At 38.6% G+C, this 12,028-nt stretch overlaps 1 long non-coding RNA gene and 1 pseudogene across 1 annotated transcript in view; both read right to left on the bottom strand.

Moving 5' to 3' along the window:
- LINC01206 (long intergenic non-protein coding RNA 1206) overlaps positions 1-12,028 on the bottom strand; it is a 58,315-nt gene that overhangs the window by 36,239 nt on the left and 10,048 nt on the right. The window contains exons 3-5 of the long non-coding RNA NR_104146.1: positions 2,534-2,608; positions 1,927-2,096; positions 1,095-1,244 (exon numbers count right to left, since the gene is read on the bottom strand). This is a non-coding gene — a long non-coding RNA (long intergenic non-protein coding RNA 1206). The remainder of the gene's footprint in view (positions 1-1,094; positions 1,245-1,926; positions 2,097-2,533; positions 2,609-12,028) is intronic.
- RN7SKP265 (RN7SK pseudogene 265) lies at positions 5,759-5,981 on the bottom strand (annotated as a pseudogene).

The following is a 12,028-nucleotide window of genomic DNA, read 5'->3' as shown; positions in this document are numbered from 1 at the left end:
CCTAATCAAGCCCTGACATGACCAGGAATTGAATGAGTCAGAAACACAAAGCAAAGCTGACTCATGAGAAGGTCAGGCCCATCTACCACTTCCATTTCTCTCCTTACCCGACGTTACCCTTCCACTTTCAGACCCCTTGCCAACTCCTGCTACTCTCTCCTGGCACTCACTATTGCACCCAAAGTGTCACACATGGCTTGGTTTTAGGTCTCTGTATTTCTCCTTTCATCCCACTTATGACCTTTTGATCCCTACATGCAGGCTTGGTTGCTGCCTTCTATTCCTGGGATCTCTCAATTACAAAAAATTCCAAGACAGATCTCTTCTTAATGTTCTCTCTATAAGCCAACAGCAACTTTTGAAAGATTATAAGACCATACAGCAATTTTCTCATCTTTATATCTTTGATAAAGTCATTAACTACAGGTACATATGAACTTGTTGGTATATGTGTGAGCATACATGCCAAAACACACAAATACATATACAGAAACATACACACACACCTGGCATAACCAGATACTAGAAGTTTATGTGTAGGTTGCAAGCTCTATAATAAACCATTTTCTGGTATCAAATGTCTAAAAGTATTAAATGACCATTTATTTTATTGGCACAGACTTGTGATCATTATTATTCATGTTGGTGAGCCTATGACATTGCAAGATATTAATGTACTTTCTGATATAGCAATAATTTAGTGATTTCTGAGCAGTTTCAGTAGTCGATGGATTTGAACCAAGTGAAAGCTGACAATTTCTACCTAAAGGATGCTAACCTGGCTAATTTCATCTGGTACTAGCTTGGTGACCAAATGCCCATTTGTTCTTGAGGACTGAGGTTTTTCTTCAATGACACCTGAATGGGGTCTTTAAGCCATTTCTAAAGTAGAGTTTACTACAAAAAAAAAAAAAATGGAAATAATCCTTGGCAAATTAACTTAAGTTCACTTATCTATCTGTGCATCTATTTTCTATGCATTCATGTATGACTCATTATATGCAAAGATTTGGAACTGCCTGGCACATCATAAGTGCTATATAATTGTTCATTATTATGATGTGAAAAGAGCATCATGGCCAAGACAGACTTACAGTGTTCTTTGGATAATGAGGCATTTGCCAATGCTTGGGTTTTCTCCTCTTGTTGGCTGCCCCTGTATCATCCAGCATTGTCTCCTTTTTTATTTCCATGTTACTTGATCTGTGTTAATCTCGTCTTCTGTATCCACACCAAAATGCTAACTGGAAAACCAAAAAACATGTAGCACTTTAGGGAAATGCTTAAAATGCAATGAATAAGACATTAAGATTTTTAAACTTAATTATAAGATTTAATTCACTGCTACCACTGCTATCTAAATTTCTGCAGGCAGAATGAACTCATTTGACACCCTGTAGCAACAACTCTACCAAAACCATGCTGAAAACTTCCTCAGGACACCCTTGCAACCATATAACCAGTCTCCCAGTGACAGCGGAAGTACTATTTACAGTCCTAGGCAGGCTTACAAAGGAAAGAAGAGCTTCCTGGCAAAGTACACACAATTCAAATGCCCTCTTCTCTATAGTGCTTTTCCTGTCTCTCTTACTCCCAAACTGTGCAACTCAAAGCTATAGCTTGCTATCAGCAAGGTGGCAGAGGGGAGAAAGTGCTACTTCAATTGTTACTTACGTGCTATAAGTTGAACAGCTATCAACTGTTTTATTGATTAATCATTGCATCTCAACATCATAATAGGGTCCCAGTAAATGCTTATTTAATAAATGAATGAAGGTTGGTAAAGCAGATTTTATTCACCAACACAGCTAACGTATCATTCTCATATAAATGGAATTTTATTGCATGCATCACAACTGCTTTATATTATTTCATGGAGAGAGAAACAAACATTAAAAGATATCACCACCTGAAACAAATACATACATTTATATGTCCCTGACAGGGTCAGTTGTGGAACTGATTTGGTTCAAAGGAGCATCCACACAGAACTCCATTCCAACATGATTTTATCCTACTGTTTAGATTGTTTTGCTTACACGTAAATCAGAGAGCCTTTCCCTTCTTCAGCAAGTGTGAACAAATGAAAACATCACCTTCCGAAACAAATGAAAACATCACCTTGTAACATTTCATCACCATTTAGTTAACTACTGCTTAAACAGATACTATCCAAAATAAGTTATTTCCTTTTTTAAACTAAAACAGTAGAAAAAAATCTGACTTTTGAAATTAGCCAATAAATATCAAAATATATTTTCATTGGAAAGAAAATACCACAGAATATTCAGCAAATGTTTTCTGAAAGCATAATGTAGCCAGAAAAAAACTTGAAATGGAGAGTTTTGAGAAAATTTAACAGCATAGTAAGTCTAATGGTAGTGCTGCCTTCCCTTTCTTCAAATATAAGCATCTTCTTATTTCTTCAAAACTTAAAAAGAAGGCTGGGAAGATTAAGTGATGGAAAGGAACACGCTCCATATTAAGTGACATAAAAATTGACTTCTAAGGAGAGTAAAGTCTGGGCTTTTACCTAGGAATTCGGAGCTTGGAAACCATTCAGTCAGAGGTCACAGACCTCGGCCAGCATTCAAAAATTATGGATTTCCTGTCAAAAAAAAACAAAAACAAAAAACATGTTCACACACACACCCCCTTAGATTTCTAGTTTCTCCAGACTCACCCCTCAACCAACCCCACCAAACCTGGGTTCTGGGCACCTCTGATCAGGAGGTTTTCTCCCTTTGAGTGGTAGGTTGACATGAGGAAAGCCTAGCCAAGGCTTCCCCAGTTATCCTGAGTCACACACATGTTCCTCCTGCTGCTGTGGAAGTAACTAGACCAAGTCCAACTCGTCATTCTTGACAATCTTGAAACTTGAACCAGGAACAGAATAAAATCCAGATGCAAAGAAATATAATTATGTCATTTTGAATTTCTGCTTGTTTATCCGTCTTACAATTGGTAAGAATACAAGGCAAATCTATAATTCCAGAAGCTGTTCTTAGCATAAATGTCCACATTTCAATCTTCATTTGTATTGAATAATATTCAAATCAAAACAGGGCTTAAAACCTAGATGATGGGTTGATAGGTGCAGCAAATAGCAAACCTGCACGTTCTGCACATGTATCCCAGAACTTAAAATAAAAAATATCTATCTCAAGAAAAGAAAAGAAAAAATAAACAGTGTTCTTTGTTAGAGTTTGGTTTGCTAGCAAACCTCAACAGGTTGTAAGTTCTTCCAGAGAAGAGAAATCTATGATGTGATTATTTCATATTGCATGTCTGTATCAAAACATCTCATGTACCTCATATATATATATACCTACTGTGTACCCAAAATAATAAAAATAAAAATGAGGAGAGGAGGGAAATCCTTATATGCCTGGCCCGGTCATGCCATTATTATTATTATTTTTTTTTTTTTAGATTTTCTTTTTCTTTTTTTTTTTTAATTATACTTTAAGTTTTAGGGTACATGTGCACATTGTGCAGGTTAGTTACATATGTATACATGTGCCATGCTGGTGCGCTGCACCCACTAACTCGTCATCTAGCATTAGGTATATCTCATGCCATTATTTTATACCATCCCAGCCCTGAAGGTTGATGAATACTTGAGCATAATGGAAGGCTGATTCTCTGAAGGGACAAGTCAACGTTACAATAAGACAACTTATAACTTTCATGTTAACATATAAGTAAATGCGATGTTAAGGCATCGTTTAAGAACATACAAAGGAAGCTCTAAGCATTGAGGTCAGTTCCTAAAATATTCAAATTACATTGCTATTTCACAAAATGGGTTTTAGAGCCCAAGGTATTTCAGGAACTGCCTCCTCTCTTTTTACAGCCTACATTACATCAACCATCAATTTAGGAAGGAAATATTTAAACGGTAAGAAATGAAATGTTTCTTCACCATAATTGATTTTCCTTATTCTTTATGAGGTTAAAATCCCTTATACTTTTCATTTAAGAAAAAAAAAAAAAAAGCCAACTTCTGGTGAACATAAATGTTTTTAAGAACTGAAACCATTTAAATGTAAAAGGGAAATTGCTTTAAAGTAATTCATAAAGACACAAACAAAAATCATAAGTATTCAGAATCTGAAACAAATTCATTTTATGAAGCAAAATGCACAAAATCAAATATCTTTCATAGCAATGAAATATAATTTTCCTTAGGGAGTTTGGAAAATTCTCTCCAAAGTTCTGATTGATAAGCCTTTACAAAAGAAAGACTGCTTTTTGAGGTAGTAAATCGCCTACTGACATATTCTACACAAAGCTTCAGTGTTTAATACCAAGCTGCAGGGATATGAATACAAAGACATCAATTATCCCAAAATAGATTGGGGCAGAGTCTTGTTCAGTTATTAGTTCTTTAAGCTATGTCCACAGAGGACAGGGAGAAATAGAGATTTGGCAATCAGCTGGTTAATTTGGTCACTGTAGTCAACTGCACTGTATAATTTAGATCGGAAACATACGCTGACCTGGTGTTTTTAATTTGGAACATTCATCAAATTAATAAAATAATTGCCAATTCTCAATTGCACTATACCCTGTAAGCAGAGTTTTAGTAACACTGATCATGTTTTTGCTTATAATTATAAACACAATTAGACCTTATGTTATTTGGGCATCTGCACCTTTTAGACGGTGTCCCATTTTCTACATAGTTCCTCTCCCCTAGCTATGCGCCTACTTCCCTTTATCTACTCTTCTCTGTCAAGATGATCTTGCCTCCTAGCATGGGAAGGGAGTGAAGGCCATCAACTAGGAACTCCCTTGGCTCTCCGTCCTCCTACACATACACACAAACACTCTTTGTGGGTCCACACACCTTGACTTCTGTCTCACTGGGAGAGATATCTGGCTTCCTTTACAAAACCAACTTCTAGCATCTCCAGATTCCATCAATACTACTTCTCAGGGATCTTGCTCCATCTTCATCTTTTTTTTTTTTTTTTTTTTTTTTTCTCTTTTGAGACAGAGTTTTGCTCTACTGCCCAGGCTGGAGTGCAGTGGTGCAATCTCGGCTCACTGTAACCTCTGCCTCCTGGGTTCAAATGATTCTCCTGTCTCAGCCTTCTGAGCAGCTGGAATTACAGGCATGCGCCACCACATCTGGCTAATTTTTGTGTTTTTAATAAAGATGGGATTTCGCCATGTTGGCCAGGCTGGTATCAAACCCCTGACCGCAAGTGATCTGCCCGCCTCGGCCTCCCAAAGTGCTGGGATTACAGGTGTGAGCCACCGCACCTGGCCCATCTTCTTCATCTTTATCCCTTCCCTTTTTATTGGCTCAGTCAACTCACCATATAAACAAATTAATCCTCTCTCTGGTAAAAAAGGCATCTTTGTATACCATTGTTAAAGAATGTAAATTAGTAGGACCTTTCTGGAAAGCAATCTGACAAAAGATATTGAATCTCCTTTAAAAGGTTCAGATCTTTTGACCCAATGAATTCTTCTAGGAATCAGTACTAGGGAAATCGTATTAAGATATGGAGCCAGTTTAATTTCAAAGGTGCTCCTGGTAGTTTTATGATGAGGACATTTCTGCAGTTTTTAATGTCAGGGGAAAATATTGTCAAGTGAGAATGTCATTCAAGTAAACATTGGAGCCTTGTCTGTCTAACAGATGAGTGCAATATCTGTATATCATAGAGGCGGAAGTGAAGTCTGTCTGCAAATGGCACTACTCAAACATCATGAGGTGATAAGTGTCTGTCTTATTCACTACTCCATCCCTCAGCAGCTATAACACAGTGCACATGATGGACAACTAATAAATCTTTAATGAATGAATTTATGAAAGAAGTTTTATTTCTGTCTAATTAAATAACTCCATATGGAGAAATATCCAGGGAGCAGTCAGGGAGGAAAGGGATCTAGCCAATTAGATCAGCCAAATCACTCCTGGTGATTAATTTGGGGACAGATGCTATAGCCAAATCCTCTGTACATGCAGAAGCAAAGGCTACAATCACCCATTTGGTCTCTTCTCAACTCAGTGAAAATGCAAGAAAAAGACTGGAAGGAATAGTTTAAAAAAAAAAAGGGCAGCATTGTTTGGATTAGCGTGGTTGGACCCTTGCGGCTTTAATACTTTCCTGTACTGTTCCAATTTTCTACAATGAATGTGAACTCTACTTATAATTTCAAGAAAGTTTAAAAATAACCCCCTGCCATAACTCCACATGCCCCTGTAGCTATTGTGCCTCTTCTTTTTACAGCTAAGCCTCCTGAAAGGGTCCTCTACCCCCCGGCCTCCACTTTCTCACTCTGAGTCACCTCTTTACCTACCACTGCACTAAAATGGGCATTGCCAGTGTCACCAAAGGCCTCCGAGTTGTTCAATCTAGTGGTTAAACCCCTGTCCTCATCTTGCTGAACACTTTGGCAGCAGTTGACACTCCTGACCCCTAAACCACCTACTTGAAATCCTCTCCTCCTTTGCATTCCAGCACAACACTCTTACCTTTTATTCTTTACTTGCTGCTTTTCTCTTCTTCCTCACCCCACTAAATGCTGGTCATCTCCAGGATTCTTTTTTCATTTTTCTTCTCACAATACATTATGTTAAGGGGATCTCACCACACTTTTACATCAACCACCATAGGTGTTGATAACTCTCTGAACTTACTTCTCTAGATTATTTTAAGCTCTCAAATCGTATGTACAACCACTGACTGTATGTCCCATGAAAACCTCATATTGCCATGTCTAAAAGTGAAAGAAAGCCTTTCTCCTTCCTATAGCACTGATCTCTGCTCATTGCAGCCAATCCAAAAACCTTGGATCCTTTGAGATACCTTGGTCCCTCTCACTGCTTCAATGCATAAAAATAGTCACTAAGACTGTCAATTGTTTACCAAGTGAACTTTCTTCTGAACGTCTTCTGTTTATTCTTGTATTCATTCATTCAGCATTCATTATGTTCTTATCAGTAAAAATGAATTTGGTACATCTCTGCCCAGCCTGGTGAAAGGCACAAACTAATAAATCAGTCGTGACGGCAACTTCAATGATATAGGTATATATATAAAATGCTGCAGCGTTGAACAACTAGATGAGTTGGGAGAAGTCTTTCAGCAAAGGATTCCTGAAGGATAAAAGCCTTAGATTCAGTCAATGATGGTAGGAATGAAGAAGGGGAAAAGGTGGAGCTTGCTGATATTTTAGATGGTGTTAGGGGAGTGGTCAAGGATGCCTACCAGGTTTCTGACTTAAGAGATTAGATAAATGGACATAACCCCTACTCACCAGGACCACTGAATCAAAGAATATAAGAGGAAAAGCAGCTTTGGGAAGTAGTTCAGTTCAGAGCAAAGTGAGTGTCAGATGCCCATGAGAAGCCCAGTGTCTACACATGTATATTTTTTTCATTTGTTGAATTAAAAAAATGCAAAGCCAAACGATGTGAGCAATATCTACTTTTTCTGTTAGGAAGGGAAAAAATAAGAACCTATATTCTTATTTGTTTTAAATACAAATAAATTTGCATTTTTTCTAATATATCTATGAAGAACCTCTGGGAGGATATATAAGAAACTAACAGCAGTGGCTGCCTATGGAAAACTGAGGGACAAGGATAAAAAGAGACTGTTCACTCTGTTTTGTGCTTTCCCGGTTTGAACTATGAAGGAATTACCAATTCAAAAAATACTTTAAGGAGAATATAGTGGTCCAGAAGTCTCACAAAACCAAGACTGAAAACTGAAATTGAGTAAGTAGGTGACTGGGGCTCCAGGGGAAGCAGTGTGACTGTGAAGTGTGGGGAATGAAGAACCATGGGTCTACAATGGGAGGGCGGAGAGCCCTCTTGCAGTGCATGAATGGAAGTGAATGGACAGAGAAAAAGAAGAGACTGTGGGGGTGGAGCACTCCCCTGTCGAGAGCGTCGGTGAGAGAGAGATGAGAAGAAATTAAAAAGGGTGCCTGACTTCTTTTCTTTTCTTTTCTTTTCTCTTCTTTTCTCTTCTTTCTTTCTCTCTTTCTTTCCTTTTTCTTGATGATTTTATACAAAGGGCTGGCATTCTGATTGTTCTTTTTTCAGGTTTAATCCTTATTTTAATAAAGTTTTCAAGAAAAAAGTTAAAAAAAAAAAAAAAGAGGGTGCCTGGCTTAGTGCATTGGTGTCCTAAGCAGAGTCCCTTCACAGTCTCTCCTTCTCAATCTGACCTTTCTATTGTTGTCACAGTGACGTCAGGGCTCCCCACCATCTTTGAAAGAACTCCACACTCCTTGGCACACATGGGTTCCTTTATGCTGTGACCTTGCACCCTGCCCCACCTCTTACTGTTTTTGGCATTTCTCACAGAAAGTTTCCCTCTTCCAGCCAATGTCAAATGAGTAGCAGTTCCCAACATTCCCATGCTTTCCTTTGGACTATTGTCACTCTCTTGTTCACCTGGCTCAGAGGATTCAGTCAAAAAACACCACCACTAAGAGGCTTTCCCTGCTGGCTTCCTGACCTCCAGGGTCAGCACCCTTTGCTCTGTACTCTGATAACACCCACAGCCTTCTTTACAAGGTGCAGCTCATTGGTTTAATCACTTCATCTCATCTCATCTCCTTCATTCTGTCACTCAGAAAATATTAAGTGCCTACTGTGTACCAGACACTGTGCAAGGTGCTAGAAATAAAAAAGATGGGCAAGATCAGTATAGTTCTGCCCTGAAGATGCTTATAGTACACACACACACACACACACACACACACATATATGTGTAATACATAAAATATATACTATATATACTATAGTATATATAGTATACATTTTTACTCTATACTATATATATTTATATATAGTATTAAATATATAGTGTAGTATACTATATATACCCTATACTATCCTAATATATATATAGTATTTATTTCTCTCTATATATAGTATAGAGTAAAAAACAAAACCCAAATTAGCTACTCACAGACGTGACAAGTGCTAGCAAGAAAAGAGAGAGGGTAATCTTATAAACTATTTGACAGTAAGAACACAGTGATTTTTTAAATTAAATCAAGCATTAACATTTTAAATGTTTAATTGAAAAATTAACATAAATCAGGTGACTTTATATCTAAGTAAATTTTTATTTCAGAAAATAACCCAGGGAAAACAATAATAAAATGTCATACCATAAAGAGGGAAAAGAAAGTATTCACTAAAAGAAAATGATAAATGTCACTCAGTTTTTGCTGATAATGTCAATTCTTTTAACTGACAATTTTTCTAAACAACTATATAAAATCTGCTAAAAGTTTTATTAAAGCTCAAATATCTTATTGGTCACATAGAAATACCGAGGTGGAGTCAGGCGAGGTGGCTCATGCCTGTAATTCCCGCACTTTGGGAAGCCGAGGTGGATGGATCACTTGAGGTCAGGCATTCGAGACCAGCCTGGCCAAAATGGTGAAACCCCATCTCTACCGAAAATAGAAACATCAGCCAGGCACGATGGCAGGTGCCTGTAATCCCAGCTATTCTGGAGGCTGAGGCAGGAGAATTGCTTGTACCCGGAAGGTGCAGGTTGCGGTGAGCTGAGATGGCCCCACTGCACTCCAGCCTGGGCAACAGAGAGAGACTCCATCGCAAAAAAAAAAAAAAAAAAAAAAAAAAAAAAAAAAAGAAAGAAAGAAAGAAAAGGAAAGAAAAGAAAAGAAATACCCAGGTGGTCTCTTGATTGGAAGTAATTTCAGTTTCATTAGCTCTTTCATTTGTTAAGCTATATTTTGTTGGAGGTATATTTTTCCCCACCAACCTCTGGCCCATTGAAGTTTATCTATTACACACACATCTGCCCACTTATTTGGCAAGAAACACAAGCCTAGGAAGAGGTGGGGTGTTCACCTGTTCATAGCCATCATGCTGGACCCTCCTGGCTTTCTCCCAACTCATTCTCTTTCCAGACCCACTCCCGCCTGTGCACCTTGACTCCAGGCCCATCTGGGACCTTCTGTACTGGCTCTTCATGCTCAGTCTCCTAGTCTTTGAGTGCCCCCTCTCCCTCCTGGCTTTTGGCTCTGACTTGCTTCTGTACCACCATGGGAATGTCCTCATCAAAGCATAGCTTCCTCAGAACTCAAACACCAGATCCAACTGTTGCTGAAATCTTTTAAAGCACAGGGCAAGACCTCTGAGAGTCTGCTGGTTTGTGAACAATCAGGGCTCCTTGTCCAGGCTGATAAGCTCAGTATGTTTGAACATAAGACTAACAAGACCAAGATCACAGATTTTTTTCCCTAAACAAGTCAGTCAGCCTTGACCTTGCCTGAGGGACTAAAAGTTTTAAGTCTCCATATCTTCTCTCTGGCCCCAATCTGAAGCAAATTTGCATTGGTAGTTATAAAACGCCCCTCCAGGAGCCAGGTGACAAGAGGAAATGAATAGAAGGAAGCTTTTTTTGAGTAGGGGTTGTCAGACTATGTGAATTGACTGCTTATTCAGAAACATTCCGTTTAAAGAAAACCAGAAAGTTAACTTGCTCACCGCAGAGTTAGAACCTGGGAGCTAGATGGCCAGGAGTTCCAGTGGGAATCCTCAGTAACGATTTTCCCTCTCTCCCCTACTCCCAGTTTTCCTGTCTCCTTTCACCCAGGTATCTGCTCCTCTCCATAATATTGATAACTTCCTGGGGGGTAGCACAAGTTGTTTTGCTTTTAATTGTGCATATTTTTCCAAATAATTGTTTGTTAATCTTTTTAAACCATATTGTAGATCAAGACAATATATAGCTTTAATCTTGGGCAAGTGTTTTACAAATGTGGGCATGACCATGAAGTTGGGAAACCTCTGTTCTATCTTCATGGAATTAATATATGTACTTTTTAACAAACATTGACTCATTAATTCAACAAGAATTCGAGGTCCATTCTGTAGCAAGCAATTAGCTGACATTAGGGATACAAAGTCACATAAGACATGGTCTATGTTGAAATTTGGCTGTTGAGGAACCAGTAAGCCGGCCATGCTCCTGGGCATCTATTTGCCTGAAGAGATGTGCATGAAGAACCTGCTTTTCTCTAAAAGAGACAGTAGTGCCTGCAAGAAACTACAGAGGAAAAATGAGGAAAAAACAAACAGGCAAGGAGAACAGAGAGACAGCATGCTATCAGCCCATGCAGCCCTGTCACACAGCCTGGGGAACTGATTTAGATCCACCATGATGAGGAAGATTATGGAGGGAGAATTTGAAGAACATCATTGGAGGAACAAGCAGGGCAGTTGTGGGGCCCAGGAAACAAAATGTACCGAGAGCTGAGAAGAGGACCATTCCTCTCCAGCTCTGTCAGAGACTATGGTGTGTCTTTGGAACACTAACAGCTCAGCAGAGGAAACCTGTGCCAATGAAGCACTGTCATCACAGCTAAGCCAGAGGCAAGGTGACATGATGGGTTACCAGATTGAGAGAGCTTGCGTGCACTTGATCCTATTCTAGAAACTGGAAGAGATGGAGGGGGAAGCTGGTGTCCTATGATCATGTAAGTGGGCACAAAGGATCATCATAATTAGGTCCATAATCTTTAAGACCTTATTTATACTCCAAGGCTGATAGGAGTTTAGCTTCATTTGGATTATATTTAAATTATGCTAAAAGCTGTCACCATGGAGTTTCACCCTTTGACCCTACTTCTGTCCCCAGTGTCACTGGATTTTTTTAAGTCCAAAATATGACCTATTTAAGGACAAGGACTCCACCTCATTTATCTCTGCAGCCACAATTCCTGCTATACCTCCTATAATATTGAACAAATGTTGAACGGTCTTCAATTACATCAGGTAACATCTACTCCATAAGAAAATACTACACATGTGCAATTAAAAGTTAACTAGCAGCCACTCTTCATACTCAGAAAGATAACCTGTTTCTTAGTTTGGTTACGTCTCCACCAATTAACCTTCCTCGGTAAAAATTATGAAAATAAAGCCACGTCAAAGAATGCTCTAAGCTGCCGGAAATATTTGCACACATAAAAGATCAAGACCATACAATAATAAAGAATGAAGAGAAAATTT

Source organism: Homo sapiens, chromosome 3 (genome assembly GCF_000001405.40).
Source record: "Homo sapiens chromosome 3, GRCh38.p14 Primary Assembly".
Lineage (NCBI taxonomy): Eukaryota > Metazoa > Chordata > Mammalia > Primates > Hominidae > Homo > Homo sapiens.
Note: the sequence above shows the minus strand (reverse complement) of the source record. Positions and strands in the feature narration are given on the sequence as shown.